The 13,474-nt window shown below is 54.0% G+C and overlaps 1 protein-coding gene across 4 annotated transcripts in view, besides 1 other annotated feature; it reads right to left on the bottom strand.

Annotated features, from left to right (window-relative positions):
- Nucleotides 1-13,474, bottom strand: part of GNAO1 (G protein subunit alpha o1) — a 165,956-nt gene that overhangs the window by 27,772 nt on the left and 124,710 nt on the right. For all 4 annotated transcript variants that reach the window (XR_007064866.1, NM_020988.3, NM_138736.3 and 1 more), the window contains exon 4: nucleotides 882-1,042. Coding sequence is in view for 3 of the 4 variants with exons in the window: in NM_020988.3 (NP_066268.1) it covers nucleotides 882-1,042 (161 nt within the window). In the remaining variant the exon portion in view is untranslated. The remainder of the gene's footprint in view (nucleotides 1-881; nucleotides 1,043-13,474) is intronic.
- Nucleotides 12,842-13,136: a silencer, noted in NCBI's record as "tiled region #3823; K562 Repressive non-DNase unmatched - State 20:ReprD". NCBI's record gives its function as "represses a minimal TATA promoter and a strong SV40 promoter by Sharpr-MPRA in K562 cells {active_cell/tissue: K562}" and the evidence as "EXISTENCE:reporter gene assay evidence [ECO:0000049][PMID:27701403]".

The raw sequence follows: 13,474 nt of genomic DNA, 5'->3' as shown, positions 1-13,474 counted from the left end.
CAGATTGCAATTGCAAAGGTGGGGTGCATTTCCCGAAAGCCAAGGGGGCAATCCCAGTATCTCCATGACAGAAGACATGTCCCTGACCAACGCTGACCATCCCAGGGCTCTGGAGCCTCCAATCTAGAGGCCAAGGGCACGGAAGCAGTGAGGATGTCCTTGGAGATGCCTAGAGTGATAAAGCTGCAGCCAGTGGACCTGTGACCTGCTGTGATGGGAAGAGCCGGGAGCACCTTCTAACCAGCTCCAGCTTTTACCACTTCCCACCTCTCCGTCTTCTCTTCTGTCCTCTTCTTTCTCCCTCTCTCCCCTTCCTTTCTTCCTTCCGTCCTCCTGCCCTCCTGTCATCCCCCTTATTTAGTTATAAATAGTATTAAAGTATACATTTATTATATTAATTAGACTTACATATTCCTTATTCTTAATTTTAAAGATGGGGAATGGAAAGCTTATTATTTTTTCTAAAATAAAACAAAATGGCACCATTTCTTTTCTGCCTATATGGCTGTTGTTTTGGTTTGTATTTATGCGGTCAGGGGCTCCCTATAAAAAAACAAAGCTGCTACACTTGAAAGCTGTCTTTTTGCAGTGCCAGGCACTCTCCAGGACAAGCCAGTGACAAGGTCCCGGCCCTCTGGGAATTTCCACTGTTTGGTTGTCTCTTGCGTCCTCTGCCTCCTCTGGCCTCTTTCTCCTCCTGGGGTGCAGGAAGAGAGGCCCCTTCTCATTCCTTCCTGACACCCTCTACCTATGGGAGAACATCTCCCGGCAGGCGTGACCTCAGCCGAGAATCCTCCTTGCTCTGCCAATCCCCATCACCAGTCCCTTCCACTCCCGCATCACTGCCCGGCTCCAGGCCATGCGCCCGCTGGGACACTCACTATTTGGCAGAGTCGTTGAGCTGATACTCCCGGGACCGGTTGAAGCACTCTTGGATTCCTGAGTCGCCCCAGAGCCGCATCATGGCAGAAAGCAGCTCTGCAGAGAAGGGCTCGGTGTCTTCCATCCGACTCACCACATCACACACCATCTTGGCGTCAGCCTGTGAGGAGAGGTGGATGGTGGGCTTTGACGCTTTGGTGGGGACAGAAGACCTCTGCCAGCCAAGGGCTCTCCCCTAGCGGGGACTGTGATGAGAGCCCAGCCAGTGCAGCAGGACCGCAGCTCAGCCCACAGCCTGCTCCAGGGAGGGCCACGACCTGAGCATGCACAGTTGGGGTTCCTGGGGCCCGTGGGGCCTTCTACCACATGGATGTCCTAAAGCAGGAGCTCCAAGCTGCAGCCCATGGGGCCCCAGAGTTTTCTGGGGCAGGAAGGGAGAGTGGGCCCGGCTCTGTTCTCCACTCTCCAACTCAACCAGCAGGAAGGCAGAGTGGGCCTGGCTCTGCTCTCCACCCTCCAACTCAACCAGCAGCTCTGCTTTCATCCTGAAAACTCGGTTATTTTGTTCGGGGGAGAAAAAAATCAATGTTCTTGGCTGAGCTGTAATTTTCTATACTTCTTACACAGGGTGGAATGCAGTCCCTAGAACTGGGCTATGTAGAGGAGCAGACGTTTCGGTAGAGAATTCCGGTTAGCTGAGGGATGGGCCACAGCGGGGCTGTGCCTCAGGACTGGGGGAGGGGAGGGGCTGGTTGCCAAGTTAGTGCAGATGGCAAAAATATCTCATGCCAACACTAAATCTCAAGAACTTTGGCCCTTGGACTGCTCAAAGCCAAAAGTCCATTTTATTAATTTTTCTTGATTTGTTTGTGACCTGGGGCCTACCTTTCTCTGGGGGCAGGGGAAGCTCCTAGGTCAGGTGAAACATGGAAATGGGAAAGGACAGGTAATGAGCTTGGAGCACTCTCCTCCTCTGCCTCCTCCCTTCCTCCTTGTCTGAGTGGGTGTAGATGAATTTGCTTAAGGTGCACACGTGTAGGCTGAGCCTTCTTGAAATTACAGAAAAAGTACTGCATAATTAACAGGTTTCTTCCCCTTCCCCTCATCCTGGATACCAAAGTGGGGTCGCCTTTTCAAAGACTACAATCACATGCATGTAACATCACAACCAGGAGTGTGGTGGTCTTTGAAGATAAGAAGGCTCCTGCAGACATCCCAGGACTGCACCGTCACCGCCACCTTGCACACGGGAGTAGTACTTAGCGTACAAAGGATTTGGTGAACACACTCCGTCCTCAGAACCTCCCCCACCTCAGGAGCGAGTGGCAAGAGCTGTGTCGTTGGGCCTTTCACCCCTCCTCTGCCCACACCCTTTGCCCTGCGCCTCTTCAGCTCCTCCTGCTAAAGGCTGAGTATATGTCCTGTCTGCTTGATGTTGAGTATGGCACAGGACTCGCCGTGGCCCACAGAATGGTGCAGCAGTGGCACTGTGCCAGCTCCTTGAGAGGCCGTGTTTCTGCTGGTCCTCGTGGGCCCTGCCATCGCCATGAATACGCCCGGGCTCTGTCATTCATCCTGGGAAGAGGACTCGGGGAGCCTGGTACAGAGTGGAGCCTGCCCTGGGTCTCTGATCTGCAGAACTAAGTGGCTGGGTTTAGGAGAGGCTCAGTAGACAGCATTGCTGTGGCACAGCTAATACAGCAGTTGCTGTAGTATTACCATCTCCACTTCATAGTGGGGAAATTGAGGGCCACAGAGAGGAAGGCACTCACTTAACAACCCGATGGTGAGTGGCAGGGGTGGGACTCAAGATGAGGTGCCTTCGGACTCCAGGCCCAGCCTCTATGATCAGACCCACCTGTGCCGAGAGCTCCCTGGACGGCTGACAGGGCCTGGTAGAGGGGTCTAGACCACAGCTGAAGTGGCCTTGCCCAGGAAGATATGTGCTCCGTCTGAGGCAGCCACAGCCTTTAATGTCCAACGCAGAGTAGGTGAGAGCAGAGCAGGTGCTGCCCCGGGCCGCCCTCCTGCCTCTGCCCATGGAGCTCACTGCCTCAGGTGTATAGCTGGCTGCAGTTTGAGTCGGTGCCCCGGACAGACAGGAATGGGCAAATAACCCGGCTTCCTTGCCCTCCCAGGGAGGCAATTCTGAGACAAGCTACACATTCAGACAGGATCCCCATGGGATGGAGCCCCAGCAGCCAACGTGGCAGGCCACCCATGAGCTCCCCTTCATGGCTTCCCTCCCTTCCTGTGTGGCTTCCCCACTTCCTCGGTGCTTCCTGAAATGACCTCCCAAATAAACTCCTTGTCTCACCCAAATCCTTTTCTCAGATAAGCTTCTAAAGGAACCTAAACCTCTAGAAGCTGTCTTGAGGACAGCAAGCCCCTGTCTCAGCCCAGGCACCAGACATACCCTGTCTTCTTGCTCTTCACATGTCTCTGTGGCTGACAGGACTTTGCTCAGACCACTCTCCTAACCAAAATGCAAGGTAACCACCATCCGAGTGGCCCCTCTATTCCTGGCTGAATCCTAGCAGGTCCTGAGAACACCCCTGCCTAGTGACTACTGCCCGCCTGGGGCACCACGCCTCAGGGTGTGCACCAGCAGAGTGGCACTGCGAGATGTCCCAGCGACAGGAAGAGGCATGGCTGGGAACACAGGGCCAGGACAGGAGTGTGCTGGACCCTGAGTCCTGTGGAGCCCAGGCCAGCTTCCAGTCCATGCCAGGCCCTGGGAACCAGGTGTGGGATGCCAAGGCAAGGAAGAGGGTCGATGAGTGGAGGAGGTGGCTGGTGAGCATGTGACCATGCTGGGCCACCTGTAGTCTTTCCCTGGGATTTTTCAAAGTGGGAAGCTTAGGAGAATGTGGCCCCAGAGTCGCTAGTATCACTGAGACAAGCGTCCCCCAACCCATGAAGAAGACTCTCAGAATAAAGCTACCAGAAAGAAGCAGGGAAGTGTCATGGTATTTAGGTCCCCAAGGCTGGGTCCCTTTACCCTTCATGTGACCTGTCCTGTGAGCCCTATCCCGTTAGTTTCTGCCACTTGCACTCACAGAGACCCTGACTACTACCAGGCCCAAGACAAGATGCTCAGCACTGGAGGAGGTGGAGGCAGGGAGCTGGGGTCCTTCCTCCAGCCGCCTTCCCCCTGGTTTCAGACCGCACGAGTCCTGGAGCCCAACAGAGACTGAGACCCCACTGGGGTCTGAGAGTCGCATACACCAGGCCTACCATCTCCCCGATTTCACGGGCTCTCCAGAATTGGGATATTTTATTCATGTGTGCATTATTATTATTATTATTAATTTGAGATGGAGTTTTGCTCTTGTTGCCCAGGCTGGAATGCAGTGGCATGATCTCAGCTCACCACAACCTCCGCCTCCTGGGTTCAAGAGATTCTCCTGGCTTAACCTCCTGAGTAGCTGGGATTACAGGCATGTGCCACCACGCCCGGCTAATTTTGTACTTTTAGTAGAGATGGGGTTTCTCCATGTTGGTCAGGCTGGTCTCGAACTCCCAACCTCAGGTGATCCACCCGCCTTGGCCTCCCAAAGTGTTGGGATTACAGGCGTGAGCCACAGCGCCCAGCTGCATGCAGTATTATTATTAGATAATTTTTCTGCCGCAAACCCCTTCAACTCCCAACCCTCTGATTAGGCCGGAGGAGAGAGACTGACTGCCCAGCCCATGGCACGTGGCTCTAGAAGTGAGTGGGAGGTACTGAAAGTCTGCAGGCATCCTTGGGGATGGGAGAGACACAAAGAAAATGAGGTCAGCATCTGGAAGTTTTGTCGCCAACGAAAGGTCTGTACAAAAGAAGTGTGAGGCCAAAGCTCTTCCAGAATTGAGCTGTCCAGCTAAAGTGCTATTTACATGTCAGAGCCTGTCCACTGCAGAAGGGCAGTGAGAAAGTTCTGGAAGCTGTGCCCCTCCCATTGCCTGTCCTGGGAAGGAAGCTACAATGGTGCAGAGGCTGGAAGGCCAAGTCCCCATGCTGACCTGACCCAGCATCCAAGGGTCAGTATCGCCAACAACCCAGCCCGTGGGGTCTGACTTCGCCCTCACTGGGCATGAAGGCTGTCCGGGCCCCCCTGGCAGCAGTGACCTGGAAAGCCAGCCCTGGGGCCTGGGCTTTGGGTGCCCCAGGCAGGCAGGGATGACTCAGGGCAGCAGCAGGTGGGTGAGCAGGGGTGGCGCCTCCACCTGGGGCTAAAAACAGTGCAAGGCCTATGAGTCAGGGACCTGCAGCGATCCTGCTCCTCACGCCTGGCTGACCTCGGGCAATCTTGGGGTACTTTCCCATCTGAGGAATGCGGGTGGTGGACCTGGCAAGAGTTTTCCAACTCTTCCTTCTTTGGGCCCTACCTTCATGGTTTCTGTAGATCTGTGGAGCACCTGAGTCAGAACAAGTCAGGACCTGAGAGCAGGGTTGGGGACGCCTGCGAGGCAAGACCTTCCCTGGACCTGAGGATCACACGCTAATGTGGGGGCCCTGGAGCCACAACAGGCTTTGTAGGAGGACACTCAAGACGGTGTGATTTACAAACCGAGGCCACAAAGCTACTGTGCTCCCATGTTTGAGCTTCCATGTGTGGCCTGGAATTTAATGGGTCCCACTCCAGTAGGATGCATTCTACAGTTTGGGGACATCTGGGATAAATGATTTCCTGGGATTCTCCAGCAGATAGCCCAGGGGTCTAGGCCTTCCTGTTGTGGGACGGGGAGGGGTCCTGTGCTGGCAGCAACACCCCCTGGCCCCCCGCCCTTCCCGCTCTCTCCTGTCTTCCACATTGGCTCAACTGCTCAAATTCAAAGACCAGGAGACCTGCTTGATTTCACTGAGTCCTTCCCATGCCCAGTGCCCTGCAGTTCTTCTTTCAGATCTGCTTTCAGCTGTCTGCTCCTCCTCATCTCCTCCCCGACTTCTAAGTCCAGGCCTCCATGGTTCCCTCCCATGGGCTCCCTGCCTCGGTCCTTCTCCTCTTCAGCCTGCTCCCCACACAGAAGGAGACCATTAGTTTCCTATTAACATCAATTCTCCCCTTCTTCTTTACAAAAAGAATCCAGAAATTTTTGGTTGGGCACACTGATATCCAACTAAAAGGCTGGATTTTTTTTTTTTTTTTGCTTACAGCTAGTTGTGACCATGTGACAAATTCTGCACAAAGAAAGGTAAGCTGAAGTGAAGTAAGGCCTCAGGAAAGGTTGTTTTAAAGGTAAGGGGCACCCTTTTTCTCTCATTCCCTCTTTCCTAATGCCTGGAACTTGGATGTGATGGCTGGAGCTCTAGCAACTAAATGGGATCATGAAGACAAGGTCAACACCCTAGGGATAGTGGAATAGTGATCCAAAAACAGCCTAGGTCAAGGATCAGACTCCACACTATCTGAAGTCATCCTCACACTATCTTCAGTGTGTGTTTTCTTAATACTTAAATCAATTTCTATCTTATTTAAGGCATAATTTCCAGAGTTTCTGGTATTCAGTTAAACTTAATCATAATGGGTATAGCTCTTCCTTTCAACAGCTGCCCATCATTCCCGCATTCCAGACTCCTTGGGGCCTACAAAGCCCCTGACTGCCTCTCTGTCCTGACATCCTCCAACTTGCCCCCTCTCACGGGGCTCCAGCCATACAGCCTTACTCCTGTTCCCCAAATAAGCTGGGTGCTCCATCTGTCCAGATCACTCTGGTCTCAGTCCCACCCTATCTCAAATGTCACCTCCTTAGGGAAGCCCACCTCCCTGCTCCCACAGCGCACAGCAACACCATGGTACAGCTGGTGCTGTATGAGCCTGGTCCTCAGGGCAGGGATCGTTTCCTGATTTCTCATGGTACCTGGGCCTCACACCGTGCTTGGTAGAGAGTTGGTGCTCAGCCACGTCTGCAGGATGTATGGATCCTTGGCATTTTAATATGAGGCTTGGCCCCAGTTTCTCACTCAATCCTATCTATCCTCCAGCTCTTGTCAGTTTGTGTCTCATTTAATGATTACGGCAGGTGGGTATCCTGCTTAGGCGAGGGAGCTTGCTAAAGATCACATCGCCAGTAAGGAGAGCCTGGACTCAAAGTCGACCTCCTCTTGTGCCACAGCCAGCAGCTCTGGACTTCACATCTCAGACAAGGCCTGGCCACCTGAGGCCCAAGCTGAGAACTAACGGGTACCCAGCCCAGCCCCCAAGCAGAGGGAAGGGAGATGCATAAGATAGAAGGGCCAGGCCTGAGGGGAAGGAAGGGCTTTGCCAGCACAAAAAAAAGGATGGTGGGCTTCACAAGCAATTACTAGAGCCAGGGGAGACCCTGCTCCTTTGTCTGCCTGCTTTTAGGGGTCTGGGGGACGGGGCTCAGGCTGAGCCTGAATTTCCCATCCAAGGCTCCTCCTGGGCCTATGGGTTGTGTGTGGTGGGTATTTTCTAGCACCATTCTTTCTGCTACGGCCCCATCACACTGCTGTTTCTTGCTGGTCAGAGCGTGCCTGGGTGCCCAGGCCATATGAGATGTGACAAAACACATGCATGTTCTCTGGGCAGACTCACCAGGTGCTGTAGTCTGATTGTTTATGTCCCCCTAAGATTCCTATGCTGAAATCCTAACCCCCAAGATGCTGGCGTTCGGAGATGGGGCCTTTGGGAGGTGATTAGGTCTTAAAGGTGGAGCTCTCAGGAAGGGGGTTAGTGCCCTTATAAGAGAGGCCCCAAAGACCCACACCCCTTCCACCACGTGAGGACGCAGCAAGAAGGGGCCGTCTAAGAGAAAGTAGCCCCCACCTGATAGTGATCTGCCAGCACCTTCATCTTGAACTTCCCAGCTTCCAGAACTGTGAGAAATAAATTTCTGTTGTGTATAAGCCACCCAGCTTATGGTATTCTGCTATGGTAGCCTGAATGGATGAAGATACCAGGTCTGGCCTGTGAGTATTTTACGCGGGGCAGACGGCTAGAGCTGACTTCTTTAGAAAACTCACTGCGTGCTCCCGCCCAGGCAGTTCTGCAGGAGAGACAGCAGTGACCGCTACCAGGTGGCAGTGAAGGCCTGCCCGCTCCTCTCTGCCCAGTCCTGTTCTCCTGGGCAGCTGCCCTCTCTGCCTTTGTGGCTTTTTTCTCTTGTTTTACGGCAGCAGAGCCCCAGTTCCCAGAAGTGAAGCACCCTTCTCCAGCCCAGTCTGAGTGGTCTGCGTTGAGCTAAATCTCCCCTGATTCTAGGGGTGGACACATGCTCTGGGCTTGGCCAACCCATCTCACTGGCCTGTGAAGAGTCTGGGGTGGACAAAGAATCCCTATTTGTCAAATGAGACTAACAATCAGTCTCTAGTCCCAGCCAGCCCCAGGACACTTGTAGCAGCTATTAGGAAAGAGAGGCTCTCAAAGGGAGGCCCCCTCTGAGTGTGCAGCCAACACTGAGGAAAGCAGAGCTGAGAGGGAGGCACCTGAGTCATAATATGTCAACGCCTGGATCCAGCTGCGCCTGCAGCCACAGAGACCTCTGGGCTTTCTAGTTACTTGAGTCAATCAATCCCCTGCTTTTAAAAATCCATTGGAGGATATGTTGTTTGTTTGTTTGGTTGGTTTATTTTTGCACTTGTACCCCAAATAGTCCTATTATGCCCCCTAGTCGGCCAAGGCTAATGTGTGGCCTACCTCCTGCAGGAAGACCCCCTCCCATTCCTGCAGCGCCACTGGCTTTCCTGGCTTCTGAGCCCGCTCCTCTCTTACTATCTGACCACACCCCGTGCACAGTGCCCACATGCCGTGTGGTGTTTCCTGTGTGGGTGGCCCCTCTCTCTCCCATGGGACTGGTATGGCACTAGCTGTGTTGTGAGCACTGGCCACATACATGCTGCACACTAAAGGCAGTCTGGGGGATTCAGTAGCAGGCAGTCCTGTAAGGAGTTCATGGACATGCATGTCTGCCTGAGGCATGAAGGAGTGGGTCCCTCTTCCCACCACTGTCCCAGTTACAGTGGTTCTAAGGCCCAGCTACAGAGAGGAAGGGAGGGGGCTCTCTGCTGTGTGTGTGAGGGAAAACCTGACTGCATTTCCTCGGATGTATAGGTGCAGGTGGGATGGGTTTTGTAATCATTAAGGGCCCAGAATGCCCCCACCTCATCATTCCGCACCTGCTGGAACCCACCATGGAATCCAACATCTGATTCTCTTGCCACCCCACACCCTTCGAGGAGCCTCCTCTGCCAGCTTCCTTTGCTCACTCCCTCCTTGGACTTTTAGTGCTGCTCCATGCAGCTTTCTGCGGGCTTCAGACTGTAAATTCAGGAGCTACCCAGACCTGAGCTCCAGCTTTAGCTTCCAGCTTGAGCAAGGGGTATCATCTTTCTGAGGCTCAGTGTTCTCACCTGCAAAATGGGGATGACAGCACCATCATTTTCTCTGCAAGGCTGTTGTGTGAGCAAACGGAGGGCACTTAGCACAGGGATGGCCCTGAGGGGTGGGCTGCGCTGCTGTCCACCCAGTGGACGAGTATACACGGCTCCACGTCATAGGCTGCCCAGGGCTGCCACATAGAGATAAGAGCAACCCGCCCACCCTCATGATGATTGGGCACACGGGAGGAGGATGGGACTCTTCTATGGGGCATGGCTGGGACTGTATATTTCTGAATGCTAACAGTAAGCGAGATGCCATTCTTATGGGTTTAGGATCAGGAGGCCAGGAGAGGTTGTCATTTCTCAAGGCCACCTACAGGACTCTTTTCCACATCAATGATTTAAAGACAGCATGAACATATTTTTATCATAGTAACCAGTACAATCTTTCTGGTTAAATGATATCTCACTCTTAATGTTGACAAATAAATGGCTCAAAGCTGCCACAGTGGAGATGAGGCACTTTTGGGGAAGCTCAAGGCTCCAGAGAACCCCCTATGTAAACCTTTGCATGGCACCTGTCAGCAGCTGGAGAAAGGGGTGGGCAAGGAGAGGAAGAGGCCTGTGGAGACAGGGCCCAGGGGACATTCCAGCATTGAGAGGGGTGGGGAGCATGGTACAGGTACCCCCCAGAAGTGGGTTGCTTTGGGCTGTTGCTGGGGAGCAGGATGCCTGGGAGGTGGTAGGGTAGTGATGCTCCGGAACTGGCATTACACAGGGGGTCCCTTATCCTGGCACACAGGCCCTGTGTCCTGCCACGAGGACATGTGCTGCTGGCGGCTGGTCACGAGTGTGCTGGGGAAGCAGCACCCTGGTGACAATCAGTATAACAGCCCATGGTGCGCAGCAGGTAGGGGTGCTGCTTCCAGAAAGCTCTCTCCAGTCAGCCAGCTGGTCCCTGGAGATAGAACCCATGCTCCAAGGAGGGGCGTAGGCTCCCAGAGCCCAGTCAGGGCCCTGCCCCCTGTGTACCCAGCTCCTACCCACCAGGACACAGACAGTCCCCCTGCACCAGCTTCTCCTGTCATAGCACCTTCTTCCGCGCTTCTCAGAGATGTAGCAGATGCCTGTCTGTCCTGTGCCACACCCCAGGGGTGGTGGTGGTGACCAAGAGAACCTGAGCGAAAAGGATAGAAGACCTCATTCTCCACTCACACCCCAGGTACTGCAGGGACTTGGAAAAGCCCAGGTATATTCTTTGTGTGAAACTGGGATGGTAAACTGCACTTTTAACACTTGAGTCTTCAAAACCCTTCCCTTCTCTTCATGGCAATGTAAGCTTTTCAGCAAATATCAGTGGCAAAGAGGCTTGGAGCTAAAGCTTAATAAAAGGCCTCTTCCCTCTCAAGGGATGAGGTGCCAAGGATATGATGGGGAAATGAACAGGGATTTTCATTGTGTGACCCAAGTTCAAATCCTGGCTTCTGCATCTTTTTAGCCATGTGACCTTGGACAGAACACTGAACCTCTGAGCCTCTGTTCTCTCACTACTCCCCACTGCACAGGGCTGTTTGTGCAGATAAAACGGGGTGAGGATGTGACACAGCTTTGCAACATGAAAGAAGCCTGCCAATGTTAGTTATTATAAGCAAAGATGAAATGCCTCAGACACAAACAACAAGCTGACACAAAATAAGCCTGCTTTGTACAAGACTTTCTAGGCAAGCATGATAATCTTGATAACAATAATCATAGTAATTATAATAATAACCCCTTCCATTTGAGGAGCTGCTTTGGATCATTCAGAGCTTTCCTCCATCTCTAATCTTTTAGGCCAAGTGAAGTGTGAGTCTGCAGACATGCACGCGCACGCACACACACACACAAACCCAGTCCTCCAGTTGCAGGGAAAAACCTCCATCTGGCCCCACCCTGCCCCATGTACTGTAGTTGTCCCTGTACCCACCAGGGGGCAGGAGTGCACAGGCCAATGGGAGAGGGAGCGTGAGCTGGACCCGCCGAGCCAGAGACCAGGCATTGCAGGGCCGGGCCCGGCGGCCATCGCGCCTTCCTTGGGCTGCCGACTTGCTCTTCAACGCGAAGGGGCAGAGAGACCCCAGCCGCTGGGGGGGCCCAGCCTGGCCACTACAATTCCAGCTGGCGAAGAATTCTGGGTACTTAGTAACTAGCGCTCCCACCCAGGCCTGCACATCTGAGGAAACACCGTCACGTTCTCTCCGTTCTCTCCGGCACAGGAGAGAGCCCCCCGCCCCTCCCTCTCTGCAGCTGGGCGTCAGAACAGTGGGGAGCACTCCCTTCCGGGGCGGGGGTCTGCTTTCCTGGCCTTGGGCTGGCAGATGGCTCTCTGCCTGTGACTCTCAGTGGAAGTGGTACCAAATTGCCACCCCGGGCGCACGTTAGACATTTGTGACCAGTCTTTGGTAGTGGCAACAACTGGGGTGCTGCAGGCATTTGGCGGCTGGGGCTCTTTCCTCGCTTGGGCTTAGGATTCTGAGCAAGGCCTGCGCCTACAGAACGTCCTCAGCTCACAGGGTCTCTTGAGGAGGTAGGGGACCTCATGGGCTCACCATTGCTTTAGGGAAGGGAACCTTCCTGGTTCCTCAAAAAGATCCTGCAGCAGAACCAAGGATTCAGTGCCATCTCTAATCTTGCTTTCCTTCTCCATTTAGGATGATGATCCTCCCACTCTCTTCTTTCAAATCCACCCATCATCCCTTCTCCAGCCAGCCAGCCACACATCCTGCACCACCTACCCAGGATACCTACCTATCAAACCTTGTGCACCTACCCATCTATACATCATCTACCCATCAGCCACCCCAGTTCATCCATCCACTCACATCCCTTCCAACCCACCACCATCCCCTCCACTCTTCCCTGGCATCTATCTATCCCTTAGTTACTCATCCACTCCTGTTTGATCCAACTCGCCTCCCACCCATTCATTCTCTCCTTGATCCACTCATCCATTCACCCATCTACTATGTATCCATTTACACCTGCTAGGTGGCAGACACTGAGTGGGGTCTGGGCCTTAAGGACTTTAACATTTGACAAAGGGAATCTCCCCAGCTCAGTAGTTGGTGCCTTGAACACATCGGGGTGGAGGGAGAGCAGCCCCTGAGGTTTTCCCTGCCTCTGTCCCATGGTCCCTTCTGTGTCAGGGGTCTGTGACTGTGTTAAGCAAGGCGTTCCTGAAGTCCCCACCTGGGTTCAGAAAGCAGTTCAAACCTTCTGGATGCCCCAGGATTTGTCCTAAGCCTTTCTGAGAACCTTCCCTGCCTGGACCCAGGATGTCTCCTGTGGAGTAAAGAAGGCTTGGGTTTTTTGATCCTAACTTTCTTTCCTTTTCAGCCTCAGAACTCAGGGATCTTCCAATGACTGAGAAGCAGGTTTTTCCTAGACAGAAACTGCTTACTATGTTCCTTCCAGAACCAGGGGCCAGGGGGTGGGAAGGCGACTGTGGCCCAAGTCCTCTGAGGCCCTGTCACTGGTTCCCGCACACCTGAAAGTTTTCACCCAGAAACCACCTGTCAGTGGCTGGTGCAGTTTCCCACTCCTGGCCCTGGCCACAGTTAAGCAGGAGCCAGGGCGAGACCTAAGAATCTTCCTTCCCCACAGATTGGAGGACGTCTCTGTGTGAAGCCCAGGGCTGAGTGCTGGGGACAGAACTGCCAGCAGGAACTGGACCCTGCCCTGCCCGTGCCTGCAGTCCACTAGGGGCGTCAGATCCATCAGCACCAGCTGGGGAGTGGGGAGGCCACCCCAGGGAGGCAGGGTCTGGGCCTCAGGAGGAACAGGTTTGTGGATGGTGGGAGACATGGGGCTTCTCGGGAGGTGAGGAGGGAATTAAAGAGAGGTGAGGCGAGACCCAGGCAACACTGAGGGCCTTGACGGGCAAGAGTGGGTCCTGGAGGCACCAGATGCTCTGGCAGCCATCAGCAGGGCCTGAGGACAGCAGTGGGGTCATGCAGCCCTAGAAGGTTAAACTTAGGACAGCCACCTGTGGGCACACAGATGGCTCAGGGGCTCAAGCACAGACAGCCTCTCGGCCAGGTTGCTGGTCATGCCTATGAGGGGGTGCCCTACCCCTGGTGGGCAGGCCAGTGTCCATCCTGGGGCAGCCCTGATGGAGAGAAAATGCTTCCCCATAGAGCCTGGCAGAGGAAATGCCAGGCCTTCCATGTGTTGGGGCCTGGGACATTCACGTTTTCTGTGTGGCGTGGGCTCCTGGCCTCTTCCTGC

Source organism: Homo sapiens, chromosome 16 (assembly GCF_000001405.40).
Source record: "Homo sapiens chromosome 16, GRCh38.p14 Primary Assembly".
Lineage (NCBI taxonomy): Eukaryota > Metazoa > Chordata > Mammalia > Primates > Hominidae > Homo > Homo sapiens.
The sequence above is the reverse complement of the archived record's forward strand: the minus strand, read 5'-3'. Positions and strand labels throughout refer to the sequence as shown.